This window comes from Homo sapiens, chromosome 11 (assembly GCF_000001405.40).
Source record: "Homo sapiens chromosome 11, GRCh38.p14 Primary Assembly".
Taxonomy (NCBI): domain Eukaryota; kingdom Metazoa; phylum Chordata; class Mammalia; order Primates; family Hominidae; genus Homo; species Homo sapiens.
Genome location: NC_000011.10, coordinates 103281588 through 103299221, shown reverse-complemented (window position 1 = coordinate 103299221; position 17634 = coordinate 103281588). Strand labels below are relative to the sequence as shown.

The 17634-nt window shown below is 37.2% G+C and overlaps 1 protein-coding gene across 5 annotated transcripts in view; it reads right to left on the bottom strand.

The window, feature by feature from the left end:
• Window positions 1-17634, bottom strand: part of DYNC2H1 (dynein cytoplasmic 2 heavy chain 1) — a 370438-nt gene that overhangs the window by 180642 nt on the left and 172162 nt on the right. For all 5 annotated transcript variants that reach the window (NM_001080463.2, NM_001377.3, XM_017018291.2 and 2 more), the window contains 4 exons: window positions 16993-17043; window positions 16137-16214; window positions 12836-12967; window positions 11617-11689 (listed from right to left, as the gene is read on the bottom strand). In NM_001080463.2, the coding sequence (NP_001073932.1) occupies window positions 11617-11689; window positions 12836-12967; window positions 16137-16214; window positions 16993-17043 (334 nt within the window). The remainder of the gene's footprint in view (window positions 1-11616; window positions 11690-12835; window positions 12968-16136; window positions 16215-16992; window positions 17044-17634) is intronic.

Genomic DNA, 17634 nt, shown 5'->3' with positions numbered 1-17634 from the left:
GGTACAGAACTGTAAAACTAGGAAAGATGCATAGTTCAAAAATAACTTTTGGATGAAGAACGTTTAAAAATTTCTGGTTACTGTAGTTATTGTAGCACCGTATGGGGACATGTCTCTTTACATTTCCAATACCTCAATACACATAGTATAATATACTCCTCATGATAGTCATTTTAAGTCAAAATTATATCAGAATTACAGAAGTAAGAATACTTGCATCTGGTCACTACCATTTCTAAAAAGTAACGTAGTAGATTTTGCCAGCACATAAGTCTTGCTTTGTAGAATCATATTAAACAGGCATCCCTAAAAGCTTTGAGGACTGCTATGCTAATTTAAATATTCAAATCAAGACTACTTTCATAAATACATCTTTTTAACTTACTATTTTAAGGTTTACAGATTATAAAAAATTGCTAAAACTTAATAAAGATCTTTCCATATGAATGATGCTTGAGAAATTACATTTAAAATCAAAGCTCTAAAATTTGATTAAAAAGAGGGAAGTGCCTGTTGTTCTCTGGTAATTTGAATTTTTAAAACTTATTCCTGAAATAAAAACTCCAATTTTACATTAAAACAATTTAATAAAGCTACCTGACCAAATACAAAGTCATACAGCCATACAATAGTAAACATAATTTTTGCTTAGAAATAGTATGATTTTAAAAGTGTATTAAACTTTCAAAGCATCTGAATATATAAATAATATGAGGTTTTTAATTAATGCCATTAAACCTTGAATGTCATTTGACCTGGAGATGAAATAGTACCATAAGTATTTCAAAGAGTTGATGGGGAGTTAAACTATAAAATCAGTAAGAAAGGTTATGTGCCATGTGGCACAAAAAACGTATATTAAAGACTAAATGGGTAGGAAAAAAAAACCTCTCTTAAGAACCTCTCTGAAAAGTGTCCTGTTTTATTTTAACATGCGTTTGAGCAATAGGAACAGCAAGTGCAAAGGTTCTGATATTCCAGAAACATACTTAGAGCAGTAAAAAAAACAAGAAAAAGACTATTACGTTGGTAAAGAACTGAGCAAGGGTCAAGAGTGGTTAGGAGATAAGATCTGAGGGTAAGACCTTGTAGGACATTATAAGGATTCTGAAGAAGATGAGATGTCACATTCCATCAGAAGACTTGGAGCAGAGAAGTGATATGATCTAATTTATATTTCAAAAGGCACTTAGCAGCTATGTTGAGGATAGACTTAAAGTGGGGAAGGATAGAAGCCTGAATGGTAATAATCTCGCTTATATAAAAGTGGCTTAAACAAAGTGGTAGAAAGTCCTAAAGGTCTGAGAAGTGACTGGATTCTGGATATACTCTAAACATAGAGACAACAAATAAAAGGTATGGCAGTAATTGAGAGCTGATGATAGCTTGTATTAGGTTGGTACTAATAAAGCAAATAAAATGAATTCAGAGTAAGTTTTAGGGTTGAAACCAAAAGAATTTGATGGTAGATTGAGTATAGAAAGAAAGAAAAGAGAGGAAAGAATTACATGAGCTGCATAATGACTTTTCAATCAACGATGGACCATGTATACCATGGTTGTTCCATAAGATTATAATGCTGTATTTTTACTGTATCTTTTCTATGTTTAGAGACACAAATACCTACCACTGTGTTACAATTGCCTATAGCATTCAGTACAGTAACATGCTGCACGGGTTTGTAGCCTAAGAGCAATAAGTTATACTACATAGCCTAGGTGTGTCTGAGGGTGTACAATCAAGGTTTACGTACACTCTATGATATTCACACAATGAAACTGCCTGACACATTTCTTAGAATGCATCCCCACTGTTAAACAACACGACTGTACTTTTGTTAAACACTGTTAAACTGTTAAACAACTGTTTAACAACACATGACTGTACTTTTGTTAAACAACACTGCTAAACTGTTAACTGTTTAACAACACATGACTGTACTTTTGGGGTTTTGGATTAAACAACTGAGTAGATGCTAGTATAAAAAAATCAAAAGTTCTGTACTGATCACATTAAATTTGAGACATTTATTTTTGATGTTTTTAATATAAAAACATCAAATAAGCATTAAATATACAAGCTTAGAATTCCAGGGCTGGAAATAAGAGATATAAGCATCAGTAATTTAAGAATGATATTTAAATCCAGGGATTGGGTAAGGTCACCTACAGAGAGAATGTGTAATAATGAAAGAATAAAACCCAGGGTAAAACTATAGTAAAAAAGAAAAGTACTCTAACACTTAGAAGACATGCAGACAAGAAGCCAGTAAAGGAAAGTAAAAAGGAACAGCCTAAGAGGGTTGGGGAATGAAAAAAGAAACATAACAATCAAGAGAAGAATGTGTTCTAGAAAGAAATGAACAATTTTGAGTTTAGAAAGAAGTAAAAAATAGGATAGTGGCTAGAAAAGGGTCTCAGACCAAGGGAGGTATTTTTAAGACAGAAGATAGTAAAATATATTTGTATGCTGAAAAAAAAAAGATCCAGAAAAGAAGGTGAAATTCGTGATGTGGGAGAAGATGATAATGGCAGAAATGAAGAAGAAAACAGCAAATGAGTTGAGCTTTGATTACAGCAAAGACATTCATTCACAGTCAGAGAAAGGAAAGCAGAATGAGTATGAGTACTAAGGCAAATGGTAGATGTGTTGATGGGAAATGAAGAATTTTTGTCCTATTGCTTCTATTTTCTCAAAAATGCTAGTAAAAGCCTACTTCAATCAACTAATTTTAGTGCTAAATACAGGGACAACTGTTCTCCATATTCTTAGATGTGTATTATACAGTTATTACTCACCATGTTTATCCAAATTTGGGAACATGTTAATTGTTCCAGTAACAAGATAAAGTATTTTCAAAAGCATTTCCAAACATGGACACCAGCATCTTTTTTTCCAACTACTTCAGTCTTTAGACTCAACAGTTAAGAAGGAGGCAGAGCAAGATGGCCAAATAGAATCCTCCAGCAATTGTCCCCTTCAGGAACATCAAATTGAACAACTATCCATGCAAGAAAATACCTTCATACAAACCAAAAAATCTAGTGAGTGATCACAGCAGCTGATTTCAATAGACTCACAAGTAAAGAGGCATTGAAGAGAGTGAGAAGAACAGTCTTGGATTGCCTATACCACTCCTACCCCAACCACAGGCAGCACAGCACAGAGAGAATCTGTGTGCGTAGGGGAGGAAAGTGAGTGTGACTTTGCATTGGAACTCAGTGTGGTCCTGTCACTGAGCGGAACACAATACTGTTGCAGGAATCAGGAGGACCAGAGAGACCTCGGAGTAAAGCAGGAGGATTTTATCGAGGGCACTCAGACCCAGTGGATTAACATCCTGAGACTGGGCCCGGAACAAAGATAGCTCTTGACCTTTATACACCCTTCAAAAAGGGAGTGAGCTAACTTGAAGCAGGATTACAGTGGTGTGAAAGCAAGGATAGAGAGGCAGAACAAAGGCAGTTAATCAAATTGTGACAGGTGCATAACTCAGAATTACACATGACCCTTGCTATTCAGCACAGATGGTTGTTATCTAGGTTTTGCTCTAGTGTCTTGCACAGGCTTATTTCATAACCTTCACTATGGTGCCCAGGTGGCTGTAGCTCAGGCCTTCTCAGATGGCTCATGACCTTCATTGTACCACTTAGATAAAACAGAATACTTGAAGTTATTAGTTACAGAGAACAGCAATCTATAAACTCATACCATAAGAGAAAGAAAAATTTGTTTTTCTCCTCCCTAAGTTGAGGGAGTGCTGGGAGAGTCTCCAGAGAACATTCCTTTGTGTCCTAGCTTCGCAGATAGTTGTTTATCGAGGCTTTTCCTGGGTCTGGGCTGTGCCTGTTGCTGCTTCTAGGATAAGTCAGCCTAATACAGGAAAGCTTATTTCTTTTTCTTTTTCTTTCTTTAATTTCCTCCTCATTACCAGACAGAATTCTACCAGTGCCCATGGAAGGAGCATATACAGCAGCCCGGGGCCAGAGGGAAGTCCTCTGCTTCAGAAGGAGGAAACCAAGTCCCAGTCATCTTCACCACTAGCTAATTAAATGGCCTGAGGGCCCAAATAAATCTGAGTGGCAGTCAGGACACAGTGACTGCAGTCCTTGGGCAAGCCCTGGTGCTATTCTGATGTCCATAGCAGTGGGCTTGGGGTGTGACCCAGTGTAACACCAATTGCAGCAGCCCACAAGAGTACTTGCATCACCACTCCCTCAACTCCAGGCAATGCAGCACATGGACACGTTCCTTCTCTTTAGAGGAAGGCAAGAGAAGAGTACAGAGGATTATGTCTTGCAAATTGGACACAAGACCAGTCACAGGAAAATAAAGCACCAGGAAGATTCCTGAAGCCTATGATTCCAGGCCTTTGCTCCTTAGTTGATGTTTCAAGATCCATTCTGGGCCAGAAGGCAACCTGCTGGCTTATAACCTGCTGACTAAAGTAGCCTCAGGCCTTGAATTAACATCAGTGACAGCCAAGCAGTAGTGGTCACAGGCCTTGGGCAAGCCTCAGTACTGTGCTGGTGTGGAAGGCTTGAGGCTTCAGGTATGACTCAGCATGGTGCCAGCTGCGGTGGTCAAGGCAGAGCCCATATTGCCTCTCCCCAAACTCTGGGAAACCCAGCATAGAGAAAGAATCCTTTTGCTTGGGGAAAAGAGAGGAAAGAGAGCAAAAGATTTTGTCTAGGAACCCAGAGAATTCTCCCTTATCTTCCTAAGGTCCACCAAGGCTGTGTTTCTAGGAGTCTGCAAGAGTCATAGAGTTCTTGGGCTTAGGGTTCCCAATAGTGCTAAAACAGCTTTAGTGAAAACAGGCTTAGGTAAAAACACTCAGTCTCCTTTGGATTCCTAGAAAGCCCTCTCAAGAAGAATAGGTAAAAACAAGTCCAGACTCTGAAGACTGGAATAAATATCTAGCTCTTCAATGTCCAGACAATGATGAAGGTCCACAAGCATCAGAAACATCCAAGAAAACATGACCTCAGCAAATGAACTAAATAAGGTACCAGTCACCAATCTTGAAGTAACAGAGATATGTAACCTCTCCGACAAGAAATTCAAAACAGCTGTCTTGAGGAAATGCAATGAACTTTAAGATAACACAGAGAATTAATCAGAATTATATCAGAGAAAAAAATTTTTTGAGACACTCTCACTAGCCCAGGCTGGAGTGCAGTGGTGTAATCTCGGCTCAGTGCAACCTCTGCCTCTCCCAGATTCAAGCAATTCTCCTGCCTCAGCCTCCCAAGTAGCTGGGATTAGAGGCGCCTGCCACCATGCCTGGCTAATTTTTGTGTTTTTAGTACAGATGGGGTTTCACCATGTTGGCCAGGCTGGTGTTGAATTCCTGACCTCAAGTGATCCGCCCAACTCGGCCTCCCAAAGTGCTGAGATTACAGGTGTGAGCCACTGTGCCTGGCCTATATCAGAGAAATTTAATAAAGAGATTCAAATAATTTTATAAAAACAATCAATTCCTAGAGCTGAAAAATACAATTAACAAACTGAAAAATGCATCAGTGTCTCAATAACAGAATTTATCAAGCAGAAGAATAAATTAGTGAGTTTGAAAACATGAAAATATAGAGGAGAAAAAGAAAGAAGAATAAAAAGGATGAAGTATGCCTACAAGATCTAAAAAATAACTTCAAAAGGACAAATCTATAACTTATTGGCCTTGAAGAAGATGTAAAGAAAGAGATCAGGATATAAAGTTTGTTCAAAGAAATAATAACAGAGAACTTGCCTAGCATAGAGAAAGATAAGAATATCCAGGTACAAGACAGCCAAAATCACTAACAGATTCTATCTAAATAAGACTTCTTCATGGCATATAATAATCACTCTTAAAGGCCAAGGACAAAGAAAAGATTCTAAAAGCAGCAAGACAAAAGAAGCAAATAACATATAAAGAAGCTCCGTATGTCTGGCAGCACATTTCTCAGTGGAACCCTCACATGCCATGAGGGAGGGGGATGACATATCCAGAGTGCTAAAGGCAAAAAAAAGCTTCCAACTTAGAATATTATATCCAGCAACATCATTCTTCAAACATAAAAAAGAAATAAAAACTTTCCCAGGCAAACAAAAGCTAAAAAATGTCACCAACACCAGAACTATAAAGGGAATTCTTCAATTTAAAAGAAAAGGATTCTCAAGCAACAAGAAATCATCTGAAGGTATAAAAGTCACTGGTAAAAGTAAGTATACAGACAAATACATAAAATGCTAACACTGTAATTGCGGTGTGTAAGTCACTTGTGTTAGGCATTCCTGTGTCGCTATAAAGAAATACCTGAGATGGGCTAATTTAAAAAGACAAGAGATTTGATTGACTCATGATTCTGCCAGCATGGTACCAGCACATGCTAAGCTTCTGTGGGGGCCTCAAGAGAGCTGTTACTGATGGCAGAAGGCAAAGGAGAAGCAGGCATCTCACATGGTGAGAACAGCAGCTTGCATGTTACATGGCAAAAGGAGGAGCAAGAGAGAGTAGGGAGGGTGGTGCCACATGCTTAAACAACCAGGTCTTGAGAGAACTCACTCACTATTGTGAGGACAGCACCAAGCCACAAGGGATCTGCCCCCATGGCTCAAATACCTCCCACCAGGCCCCACCTCCAACACTGGGGATTACAATTCAACATGAGATTTGCTAGGGACGTATATTCAAAGTATATCACCATTCATATCTTTATTATGAAGTCTGAAAGATACCTATCAAAAATACTAACTACAATAAATTGTTAAGAGATAGACAATATAGAAAGATATAAATTGAGACCAAAAAAATCCCCAAAATGGGGGAAAGGGAATTGAGTTTAAGTGTAAATTTTTTCTTTTTGCTTGGTTTGTTTTTCTTTTCTTTTCTTTGTAATCAGAGTTAAGTTGTCATCAGTTTAAAATCCACTGGTTATGTTTTCTTCAAGCCTCATAGTAACCACAAAGGAAAAACTTATAATGCATACACACATAAAAAAAAGCAAGAAGTTAAAATATACTACCAGAGAAGATCACTTATACACAAAGGAAGACAGGAAGAAAGGAAAAAAAAAAAGAGAAGAAGAAGACACTAACAAAACAACCAGAAAACAAAAAAACAAAATAGCCGTAGTTAGTCTTTTCCTAAAATAGCCAGAGTCCTTTCCTATCAATAATAACTCTGAATATAAATGGACTAAATTCTCCAAGTAAAAGAGAAACAGTGGTTGAATAGATTAAAAATAAGACCCAACTTTATGCTGCCTACAAGAAACTCAGTTCACATATAAAGACTCATATAGACTGAAAATGAAGAGATGGAAAAAGATATTCCATGCAAATGGAAACCAAAAAAGAGAAGAAGTAGCTATAATTATATCAGATAAAAGAGATTTCAAGACAAAAAGTATAGAAAGAGACCAACAAAGTCATTGTGTAATGATAAAGAAGTCAATTCAGCAGAATTTAAGAATTCTAAGTATCTATACACCCAACACTGGAGTATCCAGATATAAAGTAAATATTATTAGAGCTAAAGAGAGAGATAGACTCTAATACAATAATAGCAGGGCACTTCAACACTCCACTATAAGCATTAGACAGATCATCCAGATAGAAAATCAACAAAGAAACATTAGACTTAATCTGTACTATAGACCAAATAGACATAACAGACATTTACAGAACATTTTCTCCAACAGCTACAGAATCAAGTTGTATACTTATAACTCTTAAAGGAGTTAGACTACCAAAATGCACTTTAAAAAATTATTTATTTATTTATTTATTTATTTATTGAGATGGAGGCTTGCTCTGTAGCCCAGGCTGGAGTGCAGTGACACGATCTCAGCTCACAGCAACCCTTCGCCTTGTGGGTCAAGCAATTGTCCCACCTCAGCCTCCTGAGTAGCTGGGATTACAGGTGCCTGCCACCACACCCAGATAATTTTTGTATTTTTAGTAGTGACAGGGTTTCACCATGTTGTCCAGGCTGGTCTCAAACTCCCGACCTCAGGTGATCTGCCCACCTTGGCCTCCCAAAGTGCTGGAATTATAGGCATGAGCCACCACGCCCAGCTGCACTTTACAAATTAATAGGTCAGCTATCAAACTATCAATAAATATAAACATTAAAACAGGTTATATGTAGCCTGATTATCATGCATATCTATTATTTTGTACCAGCATCCCCTCCTTCACTTCTGGTAATAACCACTCCCCCATCCATGGCTGCTTTTGGAGAAATGTAATTCCACATATTTCTGATGTGATTAGTTGCAGAGGTGGATATGTAACCTAAATTGAGTAAATCAGAGTCCTTCTCTAGGATTTTTGATGGTGAAGTTGGGAAGGAAAAGTTATCTTTCTCCTTTCATCATAAGCTTTAAAACATAACTCAGCAAGTTAGTGGTCTTATCAACCAGAATATTATGAACCCTTGAGACTAAGGACAACACACATGCAGAAATTAAAATGAGAGTCTAAAAGCAACAAGAGAGGAAGAGAGAGACAAAGACACAAAGAAAAAGGGAGAAACAGAGAGATAGGAGTAGGGGGGCAGAGAAACACAGAGACAAACTGCAAGATTGAGACAAAGACAGAGTTTCCTGATATTGTCTGAGTCATGATGTTGTCTAAGTCCAGTTAACCCAAAGGCCAGCCCTATCTCTTCTTTCCTGAGTACTGAATACTTAAACTAATAAATTCCCTTTATTCATTTAAGCGAGTTTAATATGGGTATCTGTCACCTGCAACCAAAAGAAAGGTGGATAATTACTCTGCCAAACATGAGTAAAAGTTATCTGGTACATAAACATTCTATCAGAGGTGAATAAATAGTGACATTTCCTCCCCCTGCATAAGTAAGCAAAAGCACAGAACATATCCAGACTTATTTCCATATACTCATCATTAACCAACCAGGTGACCAGTCTAAAAAGTGACTCAAAATATTTGTGTGCATATGGGTGAGGCAGAAGATAGGCATTATGTGAAAAGCTTGGTTGGTAGGTGTTATGGGTTAAATTGTGTCTCCCCCCAACCCAAAAAAAAAGATATGTTGAAGTCTAACCCCTGTCCCTCAAAAGGTTCACCTTTTTGAAAATAGGGCCATTGCAAATAGAATTAGTTAACTTCAAATGAGGTCATACTGGACAAGAGTGTGCCTCAATCCAATATGACTGGTGTCCTTACAAGAACACATCCATATCTCTTCCTAGGTTCTCGTGGTTGACTAAAAATCTTCAGTGTTCCTTGGCTTGCAGTTGCACAACTTGAATCTGTGCCTTCATAATCACATTATACTCTCCTTGCGTGTCTGTCTTTACATGGATGTCTTCTTGTAAGGACACCAATCATATTGGATTGAGGAACACTCAGTCCAAATATCGTAACTAAATATAGGATGTCAAATTTAATTCAACATTATATATGGGTTATATCCAACAAAGAGAATCATTTTTCTTTTTTTCTTTGAGATGAGGTCTTGCTCTGCTGTCCACGCTGGGATGTGGTGACAGAATCACAGCTCACTGCAACCTTGAACTCCTGAGTTCAAGAAATCCTCCCACTTCAGCCTCCTGAGTAGCTGGAACTACAGGCACATGCCACCGTGCCTGGCTCATTTTTTAATATTTACTAAAGACAAGGTCTCACTATGCTGCCCAGGCTGGTCTCAAACTACTGGGCTCAAGCAATCCTCCCCCGTCAGCCTCCAAATGTGCTGGGATTACAGGTACTGAAACCACCTTTGCAAATATTATAACTGAGGAAATTATGACAGTGAAAGAGATCAGACCTAACCGACTCCATCTTGCTTCTAGCCTTTAAGCTGACCTTGTTCATTCCTGCATGTAGGCTGAACTATCCTTGGGAAGGAATTTAGCTTATGGTTTTTTAGTGCCCAATGGGTTCACCTTGCCCATTGCCTAGACAGAGTTGATTTACCAAGACAGAGCCAGCTGTGCAGGAGACTGGGGTTTTATTATTACTTAAATCAGCCTCCCTGAGCATTCAGGATCAGAGTTTTTAAAGACGATTTGGTGAGTAGGGGCTTAGGAAGTGGGGAGTGCTGATTGGTCACATTGGAGATGGAATCACAGTGGGGGTGAAGTGAGGTTTTCTTGCTGTCTTCTATTCCTGGGTGGGATCACAGAATTGGTTGAGCCAGATTACCGGACTAGGTTGTGTCAGCTGATCCATCTAGTGCAGGGTCTGCAAAATATCTCAACTACTGATCTTAGGTTTTACAATAGTGATGTTATCCCCAGGAGCCATTTGAAGACGTTCAGACTCTTGCAGCCCGAGGCTGCATGACCCCTAAACCATAATTTTCTTTCTTTTTTTTTTTTTTTTGAGATTGAGTCTTGCTCTGTTGCCCAGGCTGGAGTGCAGCGGTATGATATCTCCTCATTGCAACCTCCGCCTCCTGGGTTCCAGCATTTCTCCTGCCTCAGCCTCCCGAGGAGCTGGGATTACAGGCACTCGCCACCATGCCTGGCTAATCTTTCTTTTACTTTCTTTTCTTTTTTTTTTTTTTTTTTTTTTTTTTAGTAGAGACGGGGTTTCACCATGTAGGGCAGGTTGGTCTTGAACTCCTGACCTCGAGTGATCTGCCCGTTTTGGCCTCCCAAAGTGCTGGGATTACAGGCATGAGCCACCACACCCAGTACCTAAACCATAATTTCTAATCTCATAGCGAACCTACTAGTCCTACAAAGGCAGACTTATCCCCAGGCAAGAAGTGGGTCTTTTTGGGAAAGGGCTATTATCAATATTGTTTCAGAGTCAAACCATAAACTAAATTCCTTCCCAAGGTTAGTTCTGCCTGTGCCCAAGAATGAACAAGGATAGCTTATAGGTTAGAAGCAAGATGGAGTCAGTTTGGCCTGAGCTCTTTCACTGTCATAATTACCTCAGTTTTAATTTTTGCAAAGGTGGTTTCGATTCGACTCTGAAACAAAATTCATAACAGCCCTTTTTCAAAAAGACCCCCTTCTTGCCTGGGGGCTAGTCTGCCTTTGCAGACTAACAAATTAGCTACAAAATCAGAAATTATGGTTTAGGGGTAATGCAGCCTGTGGCTGCAAGAGTCTGAACATCTCCAAATGGCTCCTGGGGATAACACCACTACTGTAAAACCTAACCATTTCTGTGATCCCACCTAGAAACAGAAGACAGCAAGAAAACCTCGCTTGAAAACCCCTATGATTCCATCTCCAACCTGACCAATCAGCACTTCCCACTTCCCAAGCCCCTACCCACCAAATCATCTTTAAATAGTAACCCCCAATGCTCAGGGAGACTGATTTGAGTAATAATAAAACTCCGGTCTCCCACACAGCCGGCTCTGTGTGAATTACTCTTTCTCCATGGCAATTCTCCTGTCTTGCTAAATCAGCTCTGTCTAGGCAGCAGGCAAGTTGAACCTGTTGGGCAGTTACAGAATGAGCCACCATGCCCAGCCGAGAATTATTTTTCTAAAACAGGTAGAGATTGGAAGATAAATAAACAGAATGAATAAAAGAGACATTATAACATTTCTAAACTCAGGCTAACATAAAATGAAAGGTAAATTAAAAACAAATAATTCAGGTCAGTGGTCTAGTTCTTGAAAAGCATCACACTTACCCAGAGTTTTACATGCAAAAAGAGCCATGGCACTTTGCAATCTGTCCGGTCTTAGCGCCTGTACTACAAGAATCTTAAAATAAAATGCAGAATATTTTTAAAGAATAAAGTTGCTGCAACTACTTTAACTAAACAATAATTAATGTTAACTAATTAAACAAATGTTTACTAAATATGGGAACACTTATCATTGTTCCATATTATTTACTGTGCTTTAAACTGTCACAATAGGTATATAGCAAGTATATATCAAAAATATTACTGAAATCCATTTACTTCCTCAAGCCTATCATCAAAAGTAAACAGGGTTAGAAACATCTTCTGGATCTAATAAAAGGCTAAATGGCAGGTGAAAATCATGGTACGTAGATGAGGCATTTCTGTTGACAGCAAACAGAGGCCCAGAAACCAGAAATCCTCCCTAAAATTTTCAAATCACTATTTTTACGTTTAAAAAAAAAATAGAAATAGCATCTTGCCCTGTCACCCAGGCTGGAGTGCAGTGGTGCAATCACATCTCACTGCTGCCTCGAATCCTGAGCTCATGTGATCCTTCCACCTCAGCTTCCCAAGTAGCTGGGACTACTGATTCATGCATATCTATGATATTCCTAGATGTTTAAGTTTTCAAATCAATTTTTTCTTAGTCATTTTCCTTTTTGTTTAAGCACTTTTGGGGAAATAGAATTCACTGTATATGGAGACACAAAGGGGTTAGATCCAGAGAAGAGATAAATGGAAAGGTCATTTTCTGGAGCATCAACTTCTGAAGAGCTCTCCCACTCTAAGCTTTTTGACTAGCAAAAAAGTTTGAGCGGAACCTGCCAGTAGGTTTCAACATTCTATTTTAAAATAGAATGGGAAAAATCCCCTGTTACTCACTATTAGGTCTTTTCCTTAAAAATAACTCTGGGAAATGATTGTAAAACTTGTACAATTTGTACCTTAGTTTCTTTCTGAAATACATTTTTCCTATTACAAAATCCCCCTCGGGTCTGAGACAAAAGGAATAAAAAAAGCCACAGTGAGAGAGAAACCAGACCCAGAAACTTTGGCGTGATTTAATTGTCAATAAGGTGGCAAAAGGATCAAGCCCTTCCCCAAATACGCCATTAAAGGTAAAGTAACACTCTAAAAGCAAAGCTTTCCTTTAAATGGCTTCTGAATAATAAGAGAAACATTAAACACTTTTTTGCATTTAGATAACACTAAATTTTACCTGCTGAAATAAGGAAACTTTCTTTGCAAGGATAGATGGAAACTCTTGCTCACACATTGAATTATTATAATAAGTACGCCACAGAGCTGCATCTTCAAAGCAGAGGGTCTGATAAAGACTGGGGAGAGCAATCTAAAAAATAAAAATGGCCATATACAGTGAGCTATAAGCAAATATAAGCACATACATTTATTTTTAAAAAAACTAAAAGTGAGAACCAATTATTGGTTGATGTTTATTACTCTTCTACTTTGTGTTGCCTTGTCTAATTATTTCTAGGTTGGCAACTCTATGGTAAACTCACCTAATATTAAAGCCAGAATTAAAATACACTTCCAAAGTAGTACTAAATCAGTACTCATGAGTTAATCTTTTCTCTATGTAAAAACATTTGTACCTAGCTATCTCCACCTTGTGAAGGAAACAAGTGCTGTCATTAAGATCAAGTGCAAATTTTAAGGATTGTCAAGTTAAGTATGTCAAATTTCATATTAACAAAGACTCTCTTTGTCAAAACTTCGGTCAGGCTCCTCTGAGCTCTCTTTGACTAGGCCTCAATCAGGGGCTTTGTGTCCTGCCTTGTATCCTATTTTAATAAGAATTTTGCTAAGTAACTTTAGCAAGAATCCCTACCTTGAATATCTAATCAAATTCCTCCTCTCAGCCGGGCACAGTGGCTCACACCTATAATCCCAGCACTTTGGGAGGCTGAGGCGGGCAGATCACCTGAGGTCAGGAGTTTGACACCAGCCTGGCCAACATGGTGAAACCCTATCTCTACTAAAAATACAAAAAAAATTAGTCAGGCTGGTGGTGGGCGCCTGTGATCACAGCTACTCGGGAGGCTGAGGCAGGAGAATCACTTGAACTCGGGAGGCAGAAGTTGCAGTGAGCCGAGATCACGCCACTGCACTCCAGCCTGGATAACAGAGCGAGACTCTGTCTCAAAAAAAAAAAAAAAAGAAAAGAAAAAAAGAAAAATTCCTCCTCTCCCACCCTTGTTATCTGTTGGTGTCTGATCATCTTGATCTGCCTTCACCAGCTAAATCAGTTTAGCCAGAATCCCCACTTGCCACTGACATTTCCACTTAATAGTTTTCTATTCACTGACCCCCAGCACTAATCCTTACCCTGCTTCTTGGGTACAAATTCCCACTTGTCCATGCTATATTCAGAATTGAGCCCAGTACTATACTGACATCTCTTTTCCCCTATGGCAATAAAACTTATCTTCAGTTTTAAACTCTGTCAAGCTCTGTTTTTCTAAAACAGTATCAAATCCAAAAACAAAGAATGTTTTTCTAAACCCTATTTGTTTATGTCTCTATTTGTAAATGCCTCTATTTGTCTCTAAATGTTCTAACCCTCTTTGCTACCTCACAAATTTCTATTCCACGTTCAATATTCACTTTAAACAATATCATCTTTCAGAGGCTTTCCCAAACACATTAATCCCTCTACCTCAAACAGTGTTCTCTTTTCCCAAATTTTTCAAGAGTGCGGTGTAAGATCAGAAATGTAAATCTGTAAAGGTGAAGAATTTTCATTGAAAACAAATGAGAAATTTAGAAGATCTATATCTTCAGTATAGAACTTCATATAATATGAACATAAATCAAGTATATAAAAAATGCATTATCCAAACATTTATATTCATATAAAAATAATCCATTATATTGCCCAAATTTCATTATGTAACTTAAATTAAATAGCAGAAAATAAATTACATTTCAATTTAATTACTTTTTAATAAATGATCTAAGCCTATTAAAGTAATGCTTGATGGTGGTCTGTTAACTTTATTGACATTTAGTATACAAGGCCCCATCATTGCTAATGTAGGTGTGCTACACATTATATTATCATCATGTATTTGGCTACCTTGTATACTGTCAACCATTATGACAAGGTAATTATTTGATATGCTCTCTACAATGTAAGTTTGTTCATGGCAGAGTCTCTTAATACACCTGTCATTCCACTGGTATGAACAAAAAACCAGAGCTTGTCAGTAGTTAAAGCATTAAAAACAGATTTTTTTTCAGGACTATTACAATAGAGGAAGCAATAGGCGAAAAGAGACTTCAGTACAGAGCAGGGCTCAATTTTGAATATAGCATAGGCAAGTGGAAATTTATAGCCAAGGAGCAAAGTGAGGTCAGTGGATGGAAAATTACTAAGAGGAAATATCAGGGGTACAGGGATTTCTGGCTAAACCAACCTAATGGGATTCTTGCTGAAGACAGGCCGAAGTCATCAGAATCACCTGGGGAATGGTGGGGAATGAGGAATCTGATTAGATTTCAAGGGTAATCAGATATGGAAGATTAAGAAATTCTCACTAAACCAACTTTGCAGGGTTCTGTTAAAAGTAGCTTTTACAAGGAAGTGCACAGGTGGGCCTAGAAGAAGGTTCAAGAGCCTGACTAAAGTTTGGTCAAGTAAAGACTGTCACTAGCATTATGCCAACTGGTAGTAAGCACCAAATAAATGATTAATGAAAAAAAAATGGAGGATATATAGCAGAATTCCCCCCCCTTTTTTTCATTTCTTTTACTCAACCAATGTTTATGAAATGAAGGCAGTAAAGAGTAGTGGTGAAAAGCCCAGACTATGCAACAAGAAACATAGTTTTAAATCCTGGCTCTACTTCCTAAGTGACCATAAACAAGTTACTATATCTCTATGTGCCTTAATTTCCTCATCTGTGACACAAGGAAAATTACAATAGCTACCTCATGATGTTATTGAAAATATTTAGTGAGATAATACATTTTAAAATTCTGTATAATGCCTTGAACATAGTAAGCCATCAGTAAATGCTAGCTATTCTTACTGTTTTTATCAGGTGCTGTTATAATGATACAACAGTTGTGAAGAAAAGCAGGGGAAGGAACGGAAGGATGGAAACATATGCATAGACTTGTCTTTCATTCCCCACAAAAACAACATTTTAGCCTGAGTAGTTGAAGAACACAGAATTGTTGAGAGTTAAGCTTCTAAACTGCTTTTTCTTCCCCCATGTCACCATTCTCATAGCCTAACTTACCATGGTGGCTGGGGTGGGAAGGGAGAGAAAGAAAATACTGTATTTGGAAGGCATGCTATTTCATAAATGAAAGGTTTAATAATTACTGGTTAAAGGACTAATTACAATAATTCTTTGGTAACTTTTTACTGGGGGAACTTACATCCTATTAAAAATGTTAACACTGATTACGAATAAGGAGCACAAAGTATCAACAGAAACAATGCAAATACAGAAGAAATTAAAACATGTCTCATAGTAGAAAAGGAATACCTTTAATGTTGCCACGGCCCAGCTTCGTTCCTGATCTATCCAAGACGGAAGCTGATCACGTATTTTTTGTTGAGAGTCCTTTAATAAAAGCAATTATTTTCCTTAGTATACTTGGTAAAATTCAGAGTTTAAAAAATAGCAATTGATTAGCTATTTTATTATTTTGAAAAAAATTCATTCTATGCATTATTTCTTTATATTTTTATGTATTTTACAAGTCACCATGGTAAAATTCTATGTAACATAAGGGACTGAGAACCATTTAGGAAAATGTTGCAATCATTTTTTCATTGTGCTTAATCTTTCATGAAACTTCAGAAAAACTCAAATGTCATGAGGAACTGTCATAAAAATTACATTTTTTAAAATTATATCTTACATTTCAGACATGATCTATGTTCCGTGTTATATTTTGGGTGTACTGCTGGAAGACTATTATTCATTATGTATTCAAATAGGAAATTAGTAGGAAAAAAAGCTAAATTTGAATGAAGTTATTAAAAAGTTCTAAAATGTAATTTTAAAACTCCAAGTATATAAGAAAAATTTTCAAGTTATAAGATTTGATTTTCTTAAAGATTATAAAATATCCTTGGAATAAAATACATATACTGAGAAAAAGAAACTGCATTAATTCATTAGTATGACATATTATTCTCAGAATATATGTCTTCAAAGTAAACAAATATACTTGTCTATTTTATAGGAAATACTTAAGAGGCCAGAATATATTCTTCTAATCAAATTATAACTTCAACAATAATTTAGAACACCTCTGAAGCAAATTATACCTCATGAACAAAAAGCCAGAAATATTTTCTTTAAGAGCAAAATAGATTTTGTTATTTTAACTTACAGCTTTCCGTAACATGTCTCCAACAACCACACCTGTAAACGTATCCCATTCCTATTGAATAAAAATATAGGAACACAAAAATATAAAAATGATAACCAGTTAACAAAATTGTCTAACTTTCCTTATAAGATGGCTTAAAATGCATTTTTCTAAGCAGATACTCATTTCCATCTTACCACTTCTTCTAGTATGTTAACATTATCAAGAATGAATTAATGTGACAACATAAAATATTAATATGAAATCTACTAAGAATAATTTTATTAAAACAAAACAACTCCATTATATATATGAGTCTCAATGTCTAAAAATTTAAATGTCATGTTCACTTAACATTTGTCACTACCTGTTAATTGTTTTCCCACAGGCTATTTGTTGCTAATAAGTAGAAGTAAGGTGCACCCAAAAACTTAAAAATGGTATCTGGTAGGAAATATTGAGAAAAGTAATTCCATTAACGCATTTTTTTCTCACTGATTGGGAGAAGATGCCATTAATCTTTTTTTTTTTTTTGCCATAGAATTAAGATTAATCAAGTGTTGCAGAATCCAGTGCCAAGAAAATCTACACCTTCCCCATGGCATCCCCAAGTTAGACAATAATAGGTACTATTTGTGTGACTACTGTCACACACGGGCCAGT